Source organism: Homo sapiens, chromosome 5 (genome assembly GCF_000001405.40).
Source record: "Homo sapiens chromosome 5, GRCh38.p14 Primary Assembly".
NCBI classification, from domain to species: Eukaryota; Metazoa; Chordata; class Mammalia; order Primates; family Hominidae; genus Homo; species Homo sapiens.
The window spans coordinates 91,828,043-91,852,813 of record NC_000005.10 but is presented as its reverse complement, the minus strand read 5'-3'; the positions used below and the strand labels follow the sequence as shown (position 1 = coordinate 91,852,813).

At 36.4% G+C, this 24,771-nt stretch overlaps 1 pseudogene, besides 1 other annotated feature; it reads left to right on the top strand.

The window, feature by feature from the left end:
• Nucleotides 3,968–4,262: a silencer, noted in NCBI's record as "tiled region #1264; HepG2 Repressive non-DNase unmatched - State 24:Quies". NCBI's record gives its function as "represses a minimal TATA promoter and a strong SV40 promoter by Sharpr-MPRA in HepG2 cells {active_cell/tissue: HepG2}" and the evidence as "EXISTENCE:reporter gene assay evidence [ECO:0000049][PMID:27701403]".
• Nucleotides 8,282–9,300, top strand: PCBP2P3 (PCBP2 pseudogene 3; annotated as a pseudogene).

Below are 24,771 nucleotides of genomic sequence, written 5' to 3'. Positions count from 1 at the left end.
CTTTGGAGCTCACTTAGATTTAAAATAATATAAGAATTAAGACCATGAATTCATCAAATATTTTTAAGCAAGCATGTTCATAGATCAATTGTGAAATTAAGGACAAAAACGATTAATAGCAAATAAATATCTGACATCTTTTATAACTATTCCTTCTTGAAAATTGTATCATTCAATTCATAAAAGGGGTTTTAGAAAACCACTTTCTCAAGTTAAACATGATCAGATGGGAGGTTTTACTTACATTAATAAATCGAATGAACAGTTTTAATTAAAAATGCATGCTATATTCAAAATAATGCTGAAGAGTAGATTTCTGATCAATTGTAACTGCCAGATGGGAGATTTTCATAAAAGCTGTTTTGAATATTTCACTTTCGTGAGCACATCACTTAAATATGCTGCCTACCAATCTCAAGCACAAATGCTATTCAGAGCATTAAAGTACTGCATGCAATAACTTAAGTACGTTTTTGTAATTTTTGTTTATAGACTTTAAATATAAAGCATGAAATTCAATAATTGAATTAGCACAGCTCTTTATCAAATTGCTCTAAGTAAATTTCCACAGTAAGCACATTGACGAAGAATTACAATGTGCCTGGTTAATAAGTTAAAGTTGTGCCGAGATAATAATTTGACAAGTGTCATGGACAACTACAGTGAGAAAAAATAATGTGCATTTTCCATAAGATTTTTATTTATATTAAGTTTTATAAAATTAAGTTATGCTGATATTTATAATTGAATATGTTAGCGTCAGTATAATAGAGAGGGGGGAGAGTATCACTTATTTGCAACATTTTATATTTGTCTAAAAATAACATTTTGCTTTTTACAAAAGAATTTTGACATTCATCATTTTATCTATTCTCAAAATATCCCAGTGATGTAAGGAAGCTATTACTTACTCCATTTAATAAGTGAGAAAACTCGGAAACATAGAGATTTAAGGCTTTGCCAAAGACAAAACACTAATTAAATAATCTAGGTCTGGAGTCTCTCATCATGATGTTCTGTTTTCACCACTTATCCCACATTTATGAAGAGTCAAAAGGGCTGAATTTCACTGATTCCCCAGTTAAATGTGAAAAGAATTAGAATCTAGAAGGAAAAAAATGAGAAGAACTCATTTTTTACTTTCCCTTCAAGTTCTTCACAAAGCCGTAGCATGTGATTATTTTTGCTTCTCTCCTCATCAGGAGGAAAAATAAGCAGCAAGAACACTAGTTTCAACATGATCCATAAAATACCCATAACAGGATCTTTAGGGGCCAGTATCATTTCACATCAGATTAATAATTAGATGCCTTGCTTATCTATAGCTTAGGACTGGGCTGTGTACCTTTTATTTTATTTTGCCTTCATTATTAGCTGTGCTCTCACTTTTGCAAGGAAAGTTGTTTTAAAATTTCTTAGTGAGATGCAAGCAAGGGTTTAGAGAGTTTGCAGAATGAGTTATACAGCATTCCCCACTTACCCATGATTTTGCTTTCTGTGGTTTCAGTTACCCACAGTCAACCTCAGTCCAAAAATACTAAAGTATTTTAAAAGAGAGAGACCACATTCACATAATTTTTATTGCAATATATTGTTATAATTGCTTTATTTTATTATGAGTTACTGTGTTAATCTCTTACTGTGCCTAATTTATAAATTAAACTTTATCATAGGTACATATATATAGGAAAAATTATAGTATATATAGGGTTGGGTACTAGTCACAGTTTCAGGCATCCACTGAGAGTTTTGGAACATATCCTGTGCTGATAAGGAAGGACTCCCATACCAGAAATTTTAGAATTTAGCAGCCACAGTGAAGAACAGGATCAGGAGATCAGGGTATAACACACAAACACAATTAGGAAAGAATTCATTTAGAGATGAGAACCTCTTCAAAAACATGGATATGTGTCTAGAAGGAAAGTGTTAATCTGTAAGTTCAGACCAAAAGCAAAAATATGTCATATGAATTTCTTTCTCTCTGTTCAGACCAAGGATAAATTTTAAAATTCTTGATGGCAATCCCAGAGAAGACCAGAGAGACCAAATGCAGTGAAACAGGCAGTCGATCAGCATCAACAATATCAAACTTCAAATATCATTTCAATACTTTTAAGGCAAAGTATCCATGCCAGACACTCTGCTGATCATTCTCATATATGTTATCTTATCAATCTTTTTAATATCCATATGGTGTAAATAACAATATTTTCATTTTACAAATGAGGAAACCAAGATCCAATTACTTGAAGTAATTTTTCCAGGTAATAAAAGGTATAAGCAGGATAATTCCTAGGTTTTTGAAAATCAGTGTATTTATGCTGAACTTCTGGATGTATCTCCACAGCAGAACAGACTTTAATACGAGACCCATGAGCGCATTCTGCAAAAATAATGCAAACTCCTTTTTGAGAACATGGATGTAACCTGTGCCAAGGATTACGGTGTCCCAAGTGTATCAGGAAAGTATATCCGATTCTCTCTGAAAAGATAGCTATGGTATCTCTCCCTCATTCCATTCATGACATAAAAACACTAACTTGACATTGATGGTCTTCATTCTGATTCAAAAAGACAACTTGATTACTGCCTGATGACTCATGCTCCAGGACTATTACAATGTGAAATACTTTTCTGTGAAGTCTTTGCAAAGCATTCTCACAGTAAATATACTCAAAATTTTCATACATTTTTATAGTGAAGACACCTCCTATTGTGACTACTTCAATTAGTAGCTTGATCTCAGACTTGGCAAGTGTTTATAGGCAGTTGTTGTACCAGGATTCTGTGAAGAGAGAAATTAAGAAGAACATTATTAATTGCCTCACCATTTTGTTCCCAGCTGTCTTTTACAGGCAATGACAGAAGGATAAGAAAGGTAATCTTCCTGGTGAAAGTCAGTAAATTGCCTTTTCATTGAGAGAAAAGTTAGGGGTGAAATTATCAAGGAGTGCAGTGACTGTGAAAAGTCTCAGGCTAAAGTATACCTTATATAAAGTTTGCTAAATTACCTTGCAAGGATTATGAGTCCAGGCATTGGAAAGTAGTAGTTTCATTTGGGAAGCCCAGCTTCTGTAAGTCTGGAGGGCTGATTCTGTAAGTACCTCCACAGATTGTCATATAAATACTCTAAGGTTAAGTTTTGTCTTGGAAGCTAGAGTAGAATTGATTATCAAGTTAGTTACATTTTTCCAGAAAAAGGAAAAGCAAGATGGTGATGTTATGGGAAAACATTTTTAAAATCTGAAAAATTTGATGCAGAGGGCAAAAGAGTGGCATCTGATTAAAATGAGTCTTTACTGCATTACTTAAGTAGATTAAAGGTCAAAATATACCACTACTATGAAACATTCTCCTACAGCAAAAACTTAACATGGTTAGGATATCTGACACAAACTACTAACTGTTCACAAGCCCTCCTTTTTTCCTTCTGGACGTACCAGTAGACTACATTCCTCAGTCTCCCCTGCTGTTAGGTGGGGCTGTGGGATGTTTCACAATAAGGCACATAAAAAAATCCCCAGGCAACCCCCCATGCTCTCATTATTTTCTCTGGCCTGGTAGCCAGATGCAGAGGATGCATTGGAGGCATTTTGGATCCTAGGAATCCTAGAAATGGCAGAGTCACTAAGTCAAAGGAATGCGAGTTCCCTCAACCCATACTTAACAGAGACATAAGCAAGAAATAGAGTTCTCAGTGATGTAAACCACCGTAATTTGGGGTGCATTTGTTTTGCATATAGCAACCCCTGACCTGACCAATACAGCAGAAGAGTATCACTTTTATCACCCTATAACTGTAGTTTTCAATGCTCCCAACTTCCTTAATGTCCACATCTCTTATGTTTTAGGAAACAAACTTTGTATGCTTTCTCAGATTCTCTTGACCACCTTTTCTTCTCTCTCTTTTCTGGTCAAGTCCTCATTCATATTAGGTCACTGGTTTACCTTTGGACTTGGATGAAAAGGCCATAATACAAGGGATCTCTCTGAATGGTACTGACAAGCCAGATTATACAAGCCATCAGTGTAGGGGTAAAACACTCTGCATAAGATTTGACCAATAGGTAACTTGAGATGGGAGAAAGCTGGGAAGACACATTTCTCCTCCTTTCCCTCTTCTAGGAATGACTCATTCTTACCACACTTCCAAAGAAGTTCTATGTGTTGTGTGAACACATTCACTATGCATCTGGCAGTATCTCTTAGTGACTCATCATGCAATGGTGACCAGTGTTGTGACATAAGGCATTAAATTTCTCTGCGGCGTCCTCGCTTTGCTTCTGTTTTTCATTTATACTTCAGTGGGCTTGAATCTTCTAAATAAAATCATAGCATCTTAATCCTTACCTCAGGCTCTGCTTTTTAAAGAATTGAGCTAAATCATCTTATTTGCTTCATTATTGTTTAAGTATCTAGTCTCTTATGTTCTTGTCCTCCCCCAGGCCCCAACCTGACACATCCTTGTCCAAGATCCTATCATTATATAAAGTTTTAGACAACAATAATTATAATCTCATGCACAATGACACAAAAGCTCTAAACATAGGAATACAGAATTTCTGACATGAAACTTTTATAGAGTATCCTAATGATCATCAGGATCAGTGCAAAGAAGTACAAGACCTGTCCTCTGTCTTTATAAAGCCCTGTTTAACAGGCTACAAATTATTAAAAACATCATTGGACACAGTGAGACGTGTTATAATACAGGTATATGTTTCAGATTTTATGGGTGGCAAGCTGGATAGATTGTTACAGGAGTCTTTCTCATGTCTCTAAAATCATATTAATAGACAACTAAACAGAAATCCCACGTAGATTTTTTAAGGCAAATAGCATAATTAGATATTTGAGCTACATACTTTATTTAATTACTGTTCTTATTGGTCTCTTTCCTATCTGTTTACTTTTACTAAGCATACAGTCCTCATCTGACTAGGCAAACCCTTTGAAGTTCAAACACTTACCATCATTTCTGCCTTAGGGAAGTTTTAAAATGAGTTCTCTTTTTTTAGCTTGTAGTTGAACCCAAGAAAAAATTAGAAGAGTCTAGAATTAGGTATTAGCTCTATAATTTCATTATGTTGTTTAAATTCCCTGAAGATCAGAAATAACTATATTCAAAATTCAAAGGAGACATATTTCAAAGTCAAAAGTTGTCCCTGTGGAATTTACTAGGAACATTTGTTCTCTTTCACCAGTTCAGATGACCAATAGCCTATTCCATATAAAAATGAAAAGAAAATAATGCATCTGTGAGGTTTCTTCTTTATCAGGCCATCTTCTGATCATTTAACATACATTTTCTCATTTAATTATTACCATTGTCTCATAATGTAGGTTGCATTATCCCTATTGTCTGGAGAGAAAACAGAGACTCAGAAGATTAAACTTTGCATAAAATCACATAATGAATCAGTCATTGGGACATACTTCAAACTCAGGTTTTTATATCTAAGTTCACCTAGAACATTAAAAAATACATATATTAACAATTGTAGGCTAAAATACTTCTGAAAATCCGAAAGTACCTGCAGTAGTTTGTTAAAGTGTACTCTCGTAATAAATAGGGTAAACACAAAATATACAAAATAATATTTTATTAAATTATACCCTTCTGATCATTCAACTTTTTGAAAACAAACGAAGTGAGGCATAGGTTTCTCAGTAAAAAAAAAAAAAAAAGAAAAAAAAACCTCTAGCATGCTTAATAAAGTAACCAATATTATCTCAAAGAACACAAAATATAAGAACATTCTTCTTTCAGTGGGCACTTGGCAACTTGTACGGGAAATCAGGCAGCTGGGTCACAGCATAGTAAATTATTTAAAATTCAAACGTATTCACTTCACATCATACCCTGAAACAAATTCCAGATGTGTTAAAAAGTAAATTTTACTGAAAATTAAGTCAAAGTAAAAAGAAAATTATATTGAATATTTATCAAACCTCTAACAAAGAAATAATTTTCAATGCTTTGAATACGTAAAGAATGCACAAAGGAAAATATCAGTAAATGGTACCATAACATTTAAAATGTGAATATAAAAAAATTTAAAAGTTAAACTGAGAAATTTTCCAACAAATGTAGTATTGGTTTAATTACTTGATTTTATTTTTATGCATGTGAAAGATGCATGTGAAGCATTCAAACTTCTGATAGAAAAGTCACTAATAATATGACAGATACATGGACAAGAGTTTAAACATATAATTGACATTTAAAGGAAACAGAATTATCAAACACAGATTTGAAAATGTAAGAACTTTCTTGTAGCCAGAAAACGTAGATTAAAGCAAGTACCATTTGACATATGGAACTACAAAAATAAATAAGTAAATAAATATCTAACATGCTGGTGAAAGTACAGTGAACTTACCATCCCATTCATTCTTGATGACAACAGAAATGAGTATAACTCTTCTAGAAAGCAATTTGACAAATACCTTGTCAAAGGCATTCCCAGTCCCTGGAATCTAGCCTAATGAAATCAGCCAAAATACTGAAAAAGTTAAATATAAGGTATAGCATTACACTATGAACAATTTAAAGCACCCCAATGTCTAATAGTGGGGGAAGGTTTTAGTATATTATCACTGATCCACTAGATAAAATTTATGGCTGTGTTTAGAATATTAATTGTAATTACTGTTAAAGAATGAAGACAGGCTGGGCACGGTGGCTCACACCTGTAATCCCAGCATTGTGGGAGGCCGAGGCAGATGGATCACCTGAGGTCAGGAGTTCGAGAACAACCTGGCTAACACGGCGAAACTCCGTCTCTACTAAAAAAAATACAAAAATTAGCCAGGTGTGATGGGGAGCTCCTATAATCCCAGCTACTCGGGAGATTGAGGCAGGAGAATTGCTTGAACCCAAGAGGTGGAGTTTGCAGTGAGCAGAGATGGCACCACTGCACTCCAGTCTGGGCGACAGAACGAGATTCTTTCTCAAAAAAAATTAAAAGGAATGAAGACAGTTATAATACTTAAAATAAGTATTTATTGATGCAACATAATATGGATGTGTTTAAGTATACATTTTAAATTGTTTCTAAATAACTGGAGTGGGTAACATTAAAATCCTAATAGTAGTTAAATTTTGAATTCACTTTTAACATTTGTCCTATTTTCATAATTTTATTTTTAAAATCTTTTCTGGGGCAGGCTTCTCTACATCTACGTGTGTGTGTGTGTGTGTGTGTGTGTGTGTGTGTGTGTGTGTCTGTGTGTGTGTGTATTTTTTTTTTTTTTTTAAGACAAAGTCTTGCTCTGTTGCCCGGGTTGGAGTGCAGTGGCGTGATCTCAGCTCACTGCAAGCTCTGCCTCCAGGTTCAAGCAATTCTCCTGCCTCAGCCTACTGAGTAGCTGGGATTACAGGCACGTGCCACCAGGCCCAGCTAATTTTTGTATTTTTAGTAGAGACGGGGTTTCGCCATGCTGGCCAGGCTGGTCTTGAACTCCTGGCCTCAAGCGATCCGCCCACCTCGGCCTCCCAAAGTGTTGGGATTTCAGGGGTGAGCCACCGTGCCCAGCCTACATGTATATATTTTTAAAGAGGTTACATATCAAGACTGTGTTAGAACTGATATGCCAAATGTTGGGATAAGAAATAGCATGATCAAGATGAATAGGTGACAAACAATAAAAGTCAAAACATAAACACTAGGCTGGGCGTGGTGGCTCATGCCTATAATCCCAGCACTTTGTGAGACCAAGGTAGGTGGATCTCCTGAGGTTAGAAGTTCGAGACCAGCCTGGCCAACATCGTGAAACCCCGTCTCTACTGAAAATACAAAATTAGGGCCGGGCACGGTGGGTCATGCCTATAATCCCAGCACTTTGGGAGGCCGAGGCAGGCAGATCACTTGAGTCCAGGAGTTCGAGATCAGCCTGGCCAACATGGTGGAACCCCATCTCTACTAAAACTACAAAAAATAGCCGGGCATGGTGGCACACACCTTTCTAATCCCAGCTACTCAGGAGGCTGAGGCAGGAGAATTGCTTGAACCTGGAGGCAGAGGTTGCAGCGAGCCGAGATGGCGCTACTGCACTCCAACCTGGACAATGGAGTTTTGTCTCAAAAAAATAAATTAATTAATTAACTGGGCTCGGTGGTGGTTTATCAGGTAAACACAGCATTGTGATGCATGCAGTCACAGTTAAGTAATATCTAATAACATAGATAATTTATGTTAAATTCACTTATACCATCTAGTGTCATATAGGGTAATGCCCCCAAATTTGCAAATGGATGTTTTTCAAAAAAGAAATTAGAAAATTGTCCTGAGAGAGTTATCACTTTGGCTGGACTCACTAATGCCATCTTCAAAGGCTTACTATGATAATTGACAAACTGGAAGAGGACATCAGCAGCTCTATAACCAATAGCACGGGTGCCAGTAGACCCTTGGTCATCTTAGTCAGTGTGGCCCTCTTATTGGAAAAGGTGGTTGCAAAATCAAGGAAATATGAGACAGTGTAGAGGCTCAGGTGCAGCTGACAGAGGATATGCTCCCAACTCAACTGAGTGGGCCATCACTATTGCTAACATTCTGTAATCCACAATTGAGTGTGTCAAACAGACATGCGTAGACATGCTGGAGACTCTCCCAGTAACCCCGGAAGGGCATGACTATTCCTTACCAGCCCAAGCTATTATTGAGTTCTCTGGTCATCTTTGCAGGTGGTAAGGACAAGTACATCACAAGCAGCAACAGTGCGAACTTTCCCCACACCACCCTGTCCATGTGCTTCTGTGCTTATCTGGAGGGATCACCTCTAGAGTTGACCAAGCTGCACCAGTAGGCAATGCAACAGGCTTATTTTCCCATGACTCATGGCAACACTGGATACAGTGCAGGTTTGAATGCATCTGCTCCAACTACTTCTCATGAACTCACCATTCCAATTGATTTGATTGGCTGAATAATTTCAGACATCAAGGCACCAAAATCAAGGAGATCCCTCAGAAGTCTGGGGTGCAGATCAAAATTTGAACCCAGTGGAAGGATCTACTGATAGGCAGGTTACAATCGCTGGATCTGCTGCCAGCATTAGTCTGGTTCAATATCTAATAAATGTCAGGCTTTCCTCTGAGACAGGTGGCATGGGGAGCAGCTAAAATAATGTAGATTCATCCATAATTTCTTTCTGCTGTTCACCACCATTCATGATCCTTCTGTGTAGTTCCTGAACAGTCAGTGATTCCAGGTTTTAAATTGTTTGTAAATGTTCTATTTCTACACTTTATTATCCACTCAAGATTTTTTAATTAAAGCTTTTAATTCCTTTAAAAAATTAGAAAGTTAATTTAGCCAGAGAGAGAGAAAGAGGATAGATATAGACAGACAGAACAATAGACAGAAAAATAAATGTCTCCTGTGCCTGAGCATTTTGTATACATAGTTCCACCCCTCTACATGATTCTAACAATGTTTCTTGGCTCTAAGTTACTGGAAACAGCTCTCCAACAATAAATCTGCACATCACCTGCGTCTCAGTATGCACGCAGCATGCGCAAGTCAAATTGATTGGAACCTGTTGATATGAGTTGATAAACCTCATAAACACGAGCTGTAAAAATGACTGATACTGACTTTTGAAAAGTTCATTTTTCTTTACATACAAACCAAATATTTTCTATACTCAAATGATATCTTTGAAACCAGGGAGTCATCTGAGTTAGTACAGAGCTTTGCTCTTCCCTCTCACTTCCCTCCTCCTATTGCCATTAGGACAATACAGTAATCGCCACCATTTACTGAACCTTGTGTTTCCTATGTGCCAGGCACTTGGAATCTGCTATTTTATTTGTCTCTTAACAACAAGCTGGTGAGGTCTAGACAATGATTCCTGGAGGGCTATGCATGACTCTTGAAAACACACTAGCAGCAGCCATTCCTGTCTGCTCATAAGACTCATTGGGCCACCACTCAGAAATGCACTATGGAAAAAAAAATTAAGGATTTATGGTCTGTACTGTGATCTTCTCAAACAGGTGATCTAAGAAAAGGTGCAAAACCAGACATGAGGAGTAAATTGTTGCAGCAGAAAGAAAATAAGCCTGAAAGTTATCTATTCCTACTTCCGTTGTTTAGTTTGGGTGATCTTAGTTAAAGTCATTTAAACTCTTCAACTCTCCAAGCCTCAGGGACCTCATATTCATACATCAAAATGACCACCATTTTAATCAAAGCTTTTTTTTTTAACTGTAACAGAAACCATATCAGACATTCTCAGGCAAAAGTAAATTTGCCAGAATTATACAGCAATATTGTTAGGAGCATAGCTACATTTTTTCAGAATTTTGAATCTGAAACTGGAATGTTATCAGGAACCTAAATGGTTCCTTTTCGGGGGCAGAACTCCAACACCCACCAGAAAGCATAAATTTAAACCCTAATTTCACCACTTAATTGTCTCATCCCTTAAACACTTGGGAATTTGATAGTAGTGCTTAACATAGTGCATGGCCCTAAGTAGGCACTCAATAAATGGGGGTTATTTTATCATTACTCTGTCATCAAGAATAATTTGATAATAAACAGTGATATACTTAGCCCCACAGAGTTGTAAGATCATGTTTCATAAATCATTAGGTATGCGGAAGCAGTACAGAGAAATTAAGGTTTTAGGCTGTAGAGTCAGTTTGCTTGTATTACAATTCCAAATCTACTACCTATTAGCTGTGTGACCTTAAGAAAGTAAATACTGATTATGATAATAAGAGCATCTGTTTAAGTGGTGAAGATTAAATGAGGTAATACATAACATTTAGGTCGGATCCTGATGGTAACTGAATTTTCAATAAGTATTAGCTATAAAGTTATTATTTAAAAAAAACTATGTGTTTAGAAATAACAAATTTTAAGTAAACCAGAGAAATGGAAAACTTGAAAGAAATCAAAAAGCTATTTTAGAACTACCACAACACAGTGGTCTAAAATAGGAAAACACAGTCTTAACTTGGCCGCTACTTGACTCTTGCTGTCTTGAGTCTTCCCTTTTCTTCCTTTGAAAGTCATCAGGAATAAAGAAATGACTAAGTTGACATAATTTAAATGGCTTCCTATACATTCTAGTGCAGCATCAGCACCACCTGGGAACTTGTTAGAAATGCAAATTCTCTGGCTGTTCCTTAGACTCACTGTATCAGAAGCTCTTTGGAGGGGTAAGGGGTGCAGCCCACTGTGTTTCAACAGGCCCTCCTGGTGACTCTCAGAACCACAGAGCAGAAGACTCTGGCTATGAATTAGAATCACCTATTGAGTTTAAAAAATATTGCTGTGACTACCAGGGCCCTATCCTAAAACAACTGAATTAAAAATCACTGAGGATAGGGCCAGGACATTAATGTAAGTATTTTTAAAATATGACAAAAGTTTCCCTCTATAGCCAGAAAAAGAATCATTGCAATTATTCTTTCCACACAATCATAATGCAAGTGGTTCAGCAGCCACCACCTAGGTTGTCTCTGAAGAGTATTCAGAATTGGTTCTAAGCTCCTCCAATCCTCACATTACGGATGCTTTAATACTTTAAGATCTCCTCTTTCCCTACCTCAGGTTAACACTCCTTCATGTACATCTAATCCCATAAGGAAACCAGTTCTTAGATCCTTTGTTCTTACTGATAAAAATCTCAATCAACCCAGAAGAATATTTTTAAGTGAAATTTTATCCATTAGACAAATGAAATTTCAAACATTAGCCAAATGGAGTGTGTAAGAATTAGGGGCAGGGAAGTGGGGAACCCTTGTCACTATTTCTTTATAAATTACCCAACCTCTTTCCTCAGCTACAATGAATTATAAAGCATTGATTATTACATTGTATTGAGTGGCATACCTTAATGAATACTAACTCATTTCAGTGCTTTTTGACAACCTACCGAATTAACTTACACTGACTGTATTATTATGAGATCAGCTACTCAGCAGCAGCAAAGGTGCTAATTGGTGCATTTAGTAGCAGTGAAAACATAACCTACAAAGATATTTGGAAGTAGAAAAATGGGAGCGCATTGATAATATGAACTAGAATGATTAGATTTCTGTCTATTACGTAGTGCAACAAAAATAAAGCCATTTTAATAGAATCGTGTCAAAGGACCTATGTCTCCTGCTTTGAAAACAAATGTGTTGGCTTCCTGTCAACATTTTCAGGGCTTAACAGCAGGAGGTCATTACCCTTGGACAATGCTCAGTTACACAGACATTATCTCCAATTAACAGGTTTTAACTGTAACAATTTCTGTTTTATTGGAAAAAAGGGGGGTTTTTTAAATGAAAAACTACAAAAGTGATTCCGTAATCTTGTCTCCTTGACTGGAATTAGGATGGTTACATGTACCCTTACACACATACACACACTTGCACACACATCTGAGTCAATAGAGTAGTTTTAATGTCCTTGAACTCTTTTTAAAGCATGGTAGACACATATTCCAATCTTTACATAAACAATTGGCAAAGACAGCTTTTTCATCAAAAAATAGTAAAATAAACCTTTCCCCATGTTGATGCAGCTAAGACATTTTGAGTGTTTCAATTTCCAAAATAAAGTAAGTACAAATGAAACATTTATCAATTATAATGCATTATGTTTTCCGTGTCATTTCAGAAGGTATTATGGTAATAATTCTGGATGATGGCCAGAAGCTCAGAGGAGAATTTTTAACACCCTCTCAATAGACACATTTATAGCTTTTAACTATGCAGAATACTGGTCTTATCAGCGCATAGCAGGGAAATGATTAAAATATTTCAGGAGAATTCAAACTTGGTTGTCCTTAGGTGGAAACGAAGCATCATTCTGGGCTGAAACCTCCAATTATATAAGATAGGAAGTCACAGAAAGACATCAGATTCGTACACTGTCAGTCTACACGACAGATGGTAGTGTCTGGCAATGCCTTTTTTATAACAGAAAATATTATTATAAAAATATCCACAGAAGACATTTTTAGTTCCCTGACTTAATATGTGGAAAAATTAGAGATTTTTATAGAAATTAGAGGTTTAATACTCAATAGTATGAAACAGTAGTTTTCTTTGAAATCTATGCATTAACTATTCTGTCATTTCTTAGAGAACTTTTTATAGTTGGAAGTCATCTGTTATTTTAATCTCTCTCTTTCTCTCTCTTTCTCACCCATCTATTTAAATTCAACCTAAATCTATATGTTTTTATACAACAGTTAAATCACACTATCGAGTGTTGTGATGTGCTGTAAATCACATTTTAGCCTTCCCCTCTGTTATTACAAAAGAATTGCCTTTATCTCAAAGGGGATATGTCCTTATAGATGAAGTTTCTTGAAGGTAGAATTCTCCTGAGAGCCACACGTTTGAGTGGCATGTTCTTAAGCATATTGCATTATGTGTCAGTATAATTAGCATATTCTTCTGGATTGTAAAAAGTAACAATAGCTGACAGCTGAATATGTAGGGAAATGGTCTGTAAGACTATCTAAGAACTAGGGAATCTAGTCCTTGTGTGGAACAAGCAGGTGTAGCACACTTTTTGTGATCCTGTTTTGAAAATGAATGGAGGAGGTTTAGACTCCCAGGTGGTGAGACCATTCCTGTCTCATACTCAGACACCATGTTCAGTGTTTATAGTGTGGGGTGCAAAGCAAGCCCAGGGGGTGGCTGAAAAAGAGAGAACAGAAATGGAAATATCACTGCCTGGTTTTGGCAAAGTACATAAGATGTATCAATATAGCAATGGAAACATCCCCAAGATTTCAAAGAATCTTACTAACGGGAAAAGGTCACTGTGTTCTCAGAAATGTTATATATTGCTGCAGTGATTATTCTCAAACCAGAGAACTGTAATTCTGGTTCTACTTCATCAGAATGAGCTTGGAAAGGTGGGCAGTTAGATCTGTTGCATAGCTAGGACAAAGATTCAAAATGTGCAAAACTCATCATTAGGTAGAAATAAGCAACAAAAGCAAAATAGCCACAGGGGGAAAAAAAAAAAAAAGCTGTTTCGGAGAATTTTATGAGGCAGAGAATGCCCTCTTAATTATACATACTGGAAAGGCATTTCAAGGAATTGAAGGGGTATTAGGACAGTCCACAGGACAGCATGTTTTCTTCCTTCTCTGGAGCGTACTTGTTTTTGTGATCTACTTGCTGAATTTCAAACTAAAATGATAGGAACGATCATGTCTCAGGTCATTCTCACAGCTAGCTTTTTTTCTCCTAAACTTTACTTTGTGGATAAAAATTGTTGAAAGATTAAAGGTTTTTATTTTCAAATGAAATTTGGAATTAAAAATTGGTAGACAAAAGCCCTGAAATTTTGAAAATAGAGGAGGAAGGCCTAAGCAGATTTACTACTGAATTAATTACTGACTTTACATATATGTGAGTGTGTGTGTGTGTGTGTGTGTGTGTGTGTGTGTCACTTTCATCATCTTTCTATCCGTGGCCCTAGCATAGGAAAAGAACACTGCAGCTTGATTTTAAGGGCTTCTACTACTGTCGCTGTAACTTTAACTTTCGGACATGTTATTCTTTGCAATATGTCACACCCCCATTCTCCAGACTTCTGTATGTAAACCTACCAAACCCCTATAGTTTAAAGAAGCCACAGGAAAGGGCTCAGATAGTATCATATTTACAGTTTAATTTTCCTTTAAATGTATAAACCAATGTAACAGCATCACATGGACTAGACAATATAGTCTTTTACTCTGAAACAAAAGCACACACCCTAGTATCAGCTGTAACTTGGTTTCATTCACCTCTCTACTGTCTCAACAACTATTTACTGTGGCAGAATCACTCTCACAGTAACAATAACTCATTTAAATGTATATGCCACAAGCTTTTGCCTTTGGAGACCAAGAAGTATAATCCAAAAAGCTTCTGTGAAGTCTAGAGCCTCCGATGTCCCATATTTATGTCTAAAATCCTCCATTAGAAACACATCATATTCTATCGGAGGTTCTCTTTTATAGTACAGACACTTCTAGGAAGTCTAGCTTTTTAAGGCAATACACTTTAGAGAGAAAGTCTTAAGCATTCTTGAATTATAGAAGAAGAGGGTCAAGAAATATCTGGCCGAAGAGTAGGTTCTGGCACCACAAGTACAAACATCTTGACTATGTTGCCTGGGATCAGTTTATATGGGTGGCTACCCATGGTAGGCAGTTTCCAATGTAACAGACCTCTGGGGCCTTGTTCCCTTTTCTGAAGTAACTGAAGGTTTTTCTCAAAGACTGTCCTGGAAAATGCCAGTTATCCTGTAGGATTGTTTAACTCCAGATTGATGATTCATTAACGTTAATACATCATTTATTTCTTACTTCAACTAATATTTATGAAGGTCTCCAATATGTAGGAGGCATTGTGCTCAACAATAGGAATAACATAGTAATCACCCACAAGAAGAAAAGTGAAGTATAGATTAAATTGGATCTGTATAGGTAATAATTCATTTCAAAGCAGGGTTATTTGTGATGTAATGAGGTTCATATTACACTGGATGATTTCTGAAAATCAGAGACTTCTTGGCTAACTCCAGATAACCAGACAACCATCCTTTTCCTGGAGATAGTCAAAAAAAGAACTGGAAGGACTTCATTTTTCCAAATGCTTGGGTTTAATAAGGATGTCCAGATAGTCTATCACAGACTGGTCTCAGTGTGGACTGGACCTAAACCTGAAGCAGTCAATCAATTGTTTACTAAGAACCTCATGTTCAACACACTTTGTGCATGGGACACAAAGAAACGTGAAATTCATTCCCAAGTTGAAATATAGACTATAAGCAGAGAAATACACACAATTAAGTAAATGGCATATGAGTTCTTGAATTCAGATGAAATACGAGAGAGTATAGGCAATGGAAATTAAAACACTCTGAGTGGAGCATTCATTCAATTTCTGATACTATGAATCTCTGTGTTACAACCCACGTGAATTCCCATTCATTTTCACACCAAATTTATAAAATTTAGCATACATGTTAAAACTCAGAATTCGTGGTTAGTTCATCAAAGCAAGTCCTATTTAAATATCTCTTTATACTCGGAATATAGGACAATGCATTGACTCATAAAGCATAATAAAATAAATACTTTTTAAAAAGTGTTTAATTTAAGAACACTTAGAGGACATATAATAATAACCTTATTTTATTTTGGTTGTGCTGGTAATATATAATTTTTCTGAGTTATTCAGTTATAGAAAGATGATAATTAACTACCACAAACCTTATTCACCAATATATAAAAACTGGCAGTACTAGTTACACTCCAATTTGTTAAAGAAATTTTGTAGATCAAAAATGTAAATACTATATTTGCTCATTGAAAGTCATGTTAAAGTAATTTTGTTTATTAAACCATTGAAGGGAGAATGAAATGTAAACTTTCTTTTCTAATAAACTCTCAGAGCTCAATCTTGTATATATAATATTAATGATTTAGAGTTAGAATAAATTTTAGCTATTTGTTGGAAAAGGAAATATGTTATGATTGAACACATGTAATCTTTCAAAACCTATCTGGAAACATAAGCCTATGGTTGTATTTTTAATTTCACTTTTATGCAGTTATCCTTTTCATAAGTATTAAAGTTTAAAATTTAAATTATTCACATATTTTAGCAATGTAATTAATGGAAAGCAATGACAGATAGATGATGTGGTTAAGTATGTACACATAATATGTATGCATGTGTGTATAAAGAGACAGAGGGGGGCTGGGCTCCCAGCACTTTGGGAGGCCAAGGCAGGTGAATCATCTGAGGTCAGGAGTTCAAGACCAGCCTGGCCAACAAGGTAAAACTCCATCTTTACTAAAAATACAAAAATTAGCCAGGTTGTGGTGGTGTGTGCCTGTAATTTCAGCTACCTGGGAGGCTGAGGCGGGAGAATCACTTGAACCCAGAAAGCAGAGGTTGCAGTGAGCTGATATCACACAACTGTACTCCAGCCTGGATGACAGAGTGAGACCCTATCTCAAAAAAAAAAAAAAAAAGACAGAGGGGTATTTTTATAAGTTCACTGTAATTTCACATGTAAAAAGAAATGGGAAATGCCACAATGTAATACTCTCTTTCTACATGCAAACATTCTTACTATGCCGAATTCTACTTTTTTTTACCAGATTCTTAAGATCCATCTGTTTCTTGATGAAATATACATTTTATTCCAGTTTCGATCATATCAACCACCTCATTTCTCAGAACATAGACTCTGTGAATGCAAGGATATATTAAACACATGGACAGTCAAGGTAAAATGTGAAATCGACAAAACTGGCCTTTCTACTTTCCCTCTCCCTAACTTTATCCACCCAACTGGTGCCTCCACCTACTCCCCTGATGACCAGTGCTTCCAAGCCTTCTTATGGCTTCCTAGAAAGCCCACTAGTCCCCCTTCTAAGCCAAGATATGGAACCAACCTAAGGGTTTATCACTGGATGGATGAATGAAGAAAATATGATGTGCATAAACAATAGAGTACTATTCAGCCTTAAAAAAAAATAAGGAAAGACAACGTGGTTGAACCTGGAGGACACTGTGTTCAGTGAAATAAGCCAGGCAAAGAACAAATACTGCATAATCTCACTCATACATGGAATCCAAAAATGTTAACTCTTAGAAGCAGAGAATAGAATGGTGGTTACCAAGGACCACAGCTCCAGGATAGGGAGAAATGTTGGATAAATGATACAAATTTTTAGTTAGATGGGAGGAAAAAGTTCAAAAGATCTTTTGGATCTATTGTACAACTTGGTGGCTGTAGTTAAAAACATAGTGTATTCTTTAAAATTGGTGAGAGTAGATTTGAAGTGATATGTATGTACACGATAAGCATGTGAGGTAACACATATGTTAATTAATACAATTTAGCCATTCCCCAGTGTATACATATTTCATAACATCATGTTGTCCATTATAAATAAATACAATTTTATTTTCAACTAAAATGTAATTAATACAAAAGAATTTACTTCCATTTATTACATAAACTACAGTGAAATGTTGATAGCTAAAAGGATGTAATCAACTCCCAGAGGTATTTATATTTTAAATGTTTACTATTTCTCAATAAACAAAGTACTAATTTACCACTGATTTGGCACTGGCTGTGTAGCATTGGCTGAGGCTGAATGGGACACAAAAGATATATAACAGATTGTCCCTGCTCTTGAGGAGTTTGACACTGTTTGGATTGGAGGAGATATTTCTAATATGAAACATTTTGAGCAAAAGTGCCAGTCTTTGATTCTAAATAATTGGAATTCTCAGTTGTAAGCATTTGGAGTGAGTTGGAGTAGGTAGAAAAGTCTTCAGGAAGGACACAGGTTATTATCAAAACCTTAAGTAATACCCGAGATTTAAAAAGCAGAGCCAATGATTGAGTCATTTCTAAAACTGGAAAGAGCACAAGCAAAGGCGTAGAGATAGGCCAAAAAATTGCTGTGCAAGAGACACTTTGGAGGCTAATTGAATATGACATCTGCTAGTCACTCAGATCAGCAGACCCGACCTAGGGATAAGAGGAAGGACGGCTGTATCTGTCAGGAGAGTGAAACTTAGCGCAGTGAGAAATAAACTCAGGTAGCTTGAGTAGCATGTTAGTTTTCTATTCCTGTTTACATTTATGGAGGTTTTAGGGAAGAATGCTATTCCTTACCTTTTCCAGCTTCTCCAGGCTGCCCACATTCTTTGCCTTCCAAAGATGCCATGTCTTAATCCGTGGAACATATGAATTCCGTCACCTTACATGGCAAAGGGGACTTTGCTGATGAGATTAAATTAAGGATCTTGAAACTGGGTGGTTACCCTGAATTAGCCAGATGGGTTTCCTCAGTGTTTAAGATTAACACAAAGTACAACAAACATCTTATAAAAATAAAAGTTTCTAGAATGAGGAAATCTTTCAAAAAATCACTCATCAAATGAATACTGTTTGATACTGGCTTATTTGCTTGTTTGTTTTTTGCTTTTTTTATTATGTAGAAAATGAAACACAGAGAAATTAAGTTACTCAATTTCTTAAAGTTAGGGAGTGACAAAGCCAGGATTTCAGCTTCGGTTCTCCTGACTCTTCATCACTAAACCAGCAAAGTGCATTTGTGTTCTTAGAATTTGATAGTGTTTGCATGTTCTCACTCGTAAGTGGGAGTTGAACAACGAGAATACCTGGACACAGGGAGGGGAACATCACACACTGTGGCCTGTCGGGGTGTGGGGGGAAAGGGGAGGGAGAGCATTAGGACAAATACCTAATGCATGCAGGGCTTAAAACTTAGATGACGGGTTGATAGGTGCAGCAAACCACCATGGCACATGTATAGCTATGTAACAAACCTGCACATTCTGCACATGCATCCCAGAACTTAAAGTAAATTTTAAAAAATAATAATTTGATAGTGTTCTTCCACCCTAGGAAAATTTCTGTCTGACTGTCTAGTATATTTTGCTTCCAAACCATGCAAAAAAGAATGGATGGGAAAATGAGTAGAGGCTGACACAGAGTGCTTTACTACCTTGAGGCTTTTTTATAAACTCATAAAAGAATCCACATTGACCAAGTCATATTTGCCTTTTATTATAAATGAAAGTGTGAAAGTCACTCCTCCTTAGAAGTCTACTCCAACGTCATCTTTTGAAAGTCTACTGTCTCAGCCACAGAGCTGTTCCACTCAGTTCTCCTATCAAGAGACAACTTGCCACAGAAGAGCAATCAGCCAACAACCTTTGGTTGTACCACCTTTGGAATCTGCCCTGGTATTTAATTTAAGAACACATATTTTCCATGGGCTGCGCTCACCAATGATGGCAGAGTACTCTTCTAGGGCCCGGCCATTTTTTTCTATCATGGAATCCTCTAGGGCAATCACTGAGTTGGCTGAAACTTTGCCAGGGCAACACTGTACTCTGAGGCCCCTCCTATCCAATTCTCCTTCCTTTCCCTGCTCCTTTTCTAAGTGTTAAATCTGCATTATCATTTGATGCCTTTTCATCATCTTTCCCCTCTCCTCTTTATCTCAAATGCGTATTACTTCCAGTACATTTTTTGCGCTTGTAACCTGCTTGCTACCTGCTTCCAGAGCACCTGAACTGACACTCATGATTATAACTTCAGTTTATTGCCTTACCAAAATAAGCTGAGACAACCTTTAAAATAACAGGGCTACTATGTCTTCTGCACAAATCAATTGCTGGTGACCAGGATCCTTTCTGCTCTGCAGGTGGCCACCTGGGATGCATAGTCAATGTTGTTCCATTATGGTATTAAAGGAGAGCAATGATGGTGGCAACACGATGGAAAACTATCTATAAATACTTCCAGTCCCCTTGCCAGAAAAGCTGGTGTGTTCTGTTGTTTCATCCATACCTGTAAAGAACAACCTGTCCCCTTATTTCCATCTGCTGCTTGTAAAAAAATCAAACCTACATTTCCTCAATGAGCACACATTCCAGCCTTTGCTTGTATTAACATACCTTGTGTCCCTTTCCATTTATTAATTCACTAATGAATTATGAGCCACCAGAAGAGATTTCATATCTAATGCTACATTTGAGATCATTCCTGGATTATCATTTCTTCTCCAAAAAATTATAATGGTATGTTCAAGAATAATCATGCACCTAAGCATGTGACTGCATTTTACCTGAACCATTTCCTAGTTCTATTATAAACTTTTGTTTTTCTTTTGCTTTTCAACATGGCATATGTGCTTATTTTTTCTACTCTAGTAAAGCAGCTTGACAGTTGGTAGCTGTCTGGCTGTTTATTCAACATATGTACCACTTAATGCACAGGTCTCAGTGATACAGTCCCCAAAGTCGATCCAACTGGGATAAAAGTCAACAAATAGAGATTTACAGGGAGTACATTTACTTGGGAAGAGATAAATATTTGAAAGGTGTTTAGCAGCTAAGATTTAAGCCTAATGTCATAAGAATTTACAGGGTCAGCCTCTCCCCCAGCACAGAAAACTCTCTTGATTTCACATAGGCACTCCATATGTTAGGAAATCACCTTTTAATTAGATCTCTGTAGCCTCATTCTAAGTTACCACTGTCACAAGCCTTGGATAAGATCCTATTCTCAAGAAACCTTTCACCAAACAGTTAGCCGTAGGTTCTTACAAGAAGATATTGAGACAAATTCTCCCAGATTGCAAGTGATTTTAAATTAGCTGCTCTGGTAAGAGGTGGGTGTGGTGTTATTTCAACATTCTCATATGTTACCTGAGACTTTTCCCCAGGGAAAGCAAAATGTGTTCAGTACTTTGCATTTTTCAAAGTGGAATTGGTCTGGGAGTTGTGTGGTCTCTTCTGACCTACCTAGACCAGAGAACAAGACAAAACCCAGAAATTCCCCACTCACTGTGGCCCTCCAGACTGTTGAAGCATGATCCACTTGACAAGCAAAGCTATTGAAATTTTAGAAATTATCTTCAAGAAAGAAGGCGGAAGTGAATGGCATAGTTATATCTGACAAAAAATTGTATACCAAATTCATTAAACAGACTGTCAGATACCATCCTCCCCAAGCCTTAAAGAAAAACATTGTTAATACTTTCATATTTTTAGTGAAAAAATATATATATATGTAATTGAGGCTGGGTTAAAAAATGGCTTGCCCAGAGTGACAAAGATAAACAACAGCACAGCCCAGATTCAAGTCTCATTTTGTGTGAAACCAAAATCCTGTACTAAACCAGTGTGATCCACTGTCTGCCAACAATACAGCCTATAATGAAGGTTTAGGAAACCTGTTATGCCTTAAGACTTTTGTAGAAGTTATACGGGGCAATGCTATTTGGCATGAGGATCTTTTGACTTTGAAGTTAGTCCAGACTCCAGAGATAAATTAAACTCTAAAGCACCAATTCTCAAATGTAGTGTATCATACAAAAAAAAAAGTTATTATCATTTGCAGACTTCTGTGGTTCTCCCATTCTGGACAGCGATGCTGCCACTGGGGCCCAACAAAGCATTCCCTCTGTCAGCATCACCTCTCTCCCTTGGCAGTTGCCACACAGCTAGGCAGACGAGCTGCGTTCCTGGAGTTTTCATCCTTTCCCTCTGCTTCTGGATTTTAATGGAATGTCTCATCGCAGGACATGAGATCTGACACACCATCTTCTGCATCAAAGAGTTTGGCGTGCAAAGGGACAGAATGATGTAACTTGGAATTGATGGAGTGCTAATTCCCTGTGGGGAAAGCTTTGACCAGTGGGAAAGAGAAGGAAAGGGGACCCAAGAAGATAAAGTTCTTCTTTTTTCCTCACCCTCCAACTTAATAATTTCATAAAGCATGCCCAGGAATATACTGTGTGCTGAGCTGTTACACCTGCCTAGTAACATCATGGCCTATTGGGAAGCAGTAGCCAGACATATAAACACAGCATTCCATTTATTTTCCACATCTGTTCCTTGCCTGCTTGCCCTTATTCCTTACTCTCCCTGCACACTGAAATTAGGTGCATTGGCTCCATGTTCTAGAGAGCTTGGCAAGCAAAGCCATTTGGTGAGAATTACCACGTGGGATTGTTAAAAATGCAAATTCCCTAATGTTGACTTCCTCCACCTTAAACATGAAAACTTTTCTGGGTCATTATTTAATTCCAGATGCTATCCTTGAGTCATATTAATCTATGCATTTAAAAGAGAATCTGTGACATAAGTCAATTTGTGCAAATAATATCATTTTGCTTCTGTCTTTCTTGCTAAGAAAACTACAGTTGTGTTAGAGTCAGTGATAAGCTTAGAGCTGCGCAATGAATGATGATTGGTCTGTCTCAACTACAACACTTTTCGTCAAATTTCCCAGCCTCCCTTGAAGCAAGGGATGCCACCTGCACCAGTTCTGGCTTGGATGGTTCTGGAAAAGCTTTGTTTTACATGACAGATAGGGCTGGCTTAGTATCTGACTCTTCCCGAACTCTTCTCTCCAGAATGCAGACATGATGCCTGAAGGTGCAATCACCACTTATTCACCAGCTTCAGCACCTTCACCATCTAGTCACCATAAAGTGACAAGTAAGGAGAGGAAATCAATATGCCCAGGATGAAAGAGCAGAAAGATAGAAGTGTTGGTCCCTAATGCTATTGTTGCTACATATAATATCCCAAGAGTGCTTTTTTCTGGACTTCCCACATATGGAAAAACAAACAAAAACTGTTTAAGCCATTGTAGTTAGATTTCTTGTCATTTGTAGCCAAATACATTATTAGCTGACATAGATGCTTAGTTTTGTGTATTGCCTTGACAACCTCTTGAAACCCATGATTTCCCATGTGGAACTCACTTAACGATGACATTGAATCCAATTATATCAAAATAGAGGAACTAAAAAGAAAACTCAACTAAAATAGCAGAGCAGAAGTGGAATGCGCAGTAAGTTGATATATCACACAGCCCATATATTGTAAACACTTACAACAAGCACAGGATAAATATTATCTTCATTTTGCAAATAAGGATTGACATACAAGAAAGGGCTAAATATTTTCCGTTGGTATTACAGTTAATAAATAATTGGGACAATATTTAAACAGGAGTGTTGTGATATTTTAAAATGTGTATTTTTGCCCATATAAAGTTTTTTTCTGGAATGTATATTTGGAACAGTGATTGAATTTTTAATAAAGGTTTTACCTTAAACACTATAATGAGATCAAGTAAGTGTTGTGTTAGAAGCAAAGATTTTCTTTCTAAATTCCTTCTCAGAGTCATTAATATTCTAATTTATAGTGTGAATCTCTATAAAAAATAATTTCCCTCTTATTTCAACAGGTATAATTTTTCCCCAAAGTATACATATCAATATCTTATGAAACACTAGTAGTCCAAAGAACAAAGTTTGGGAAAGCTGTATCAACAAATTTCCATGTATTTACTCAGTATTTGTGTAACATACTGGAGTACATAATTTATGACAATAATTCATATGCACACACACATACATAGATATATATCTATCTCTTTATATAGATATATTATACACCCATCCAAAAATATTTAGGTATGATGCTATTAAGTCAAATGTCTTTTCTATAAAATATCCTATGTACCTCACTTTATCAATGCACTGATTTTTTTATTTCCCTTATTAGAAGGGAAATAATTCTAATTCAAAACACTGATTTTTTTTATTTCCCTTATTAGAAGATTCCAAGAATTAAACAAGTATAGGAAGGACTTACTAACTTGTTCTTCACGTAATGACTCTATAGTTGAATTAATTACAGAAATTTCTGCTTCCAGTTTATTTTATAGTCACTGGACCACCCTCTGTAGAATATTCAAGCTGATTCCTGGAGTCTGGAAAGTGAAGGGGTAGAAAAGAAAGCAGATGATATTTAATTTTAAAGTACAACTCATTTTCCTTTTCTATTTGAAGTAAAAGAAGAAACCAAACAAATCATTATGTAAAGCTACAATTTAAAAGAAATTATCTCTATTTAAGACTATAAATTACGAGCATTTCAGTCAATGTAGATATTGACTGTTTTCAGTTTTGCAAGTTTACTACAACAGTCATATGATCATAGTGATAATGGAGTTCTTATTTTAATTGTGAGTTTTGCTTCTACAAAAAAAAAAATGTAGACTTATCATACTCTAATAGATAGTAAAAAAGAAGAGTTCAAACTGTGGGTAGTACAATGACTTTCCCCAAAACAGATCTTTTCCTTTTAAGCCCCAGATCAATAAATGACCCTTTTGATCAAAGAACAAACTAAAATCTCCTCTATATTTTGCTTGTTACTTTCAT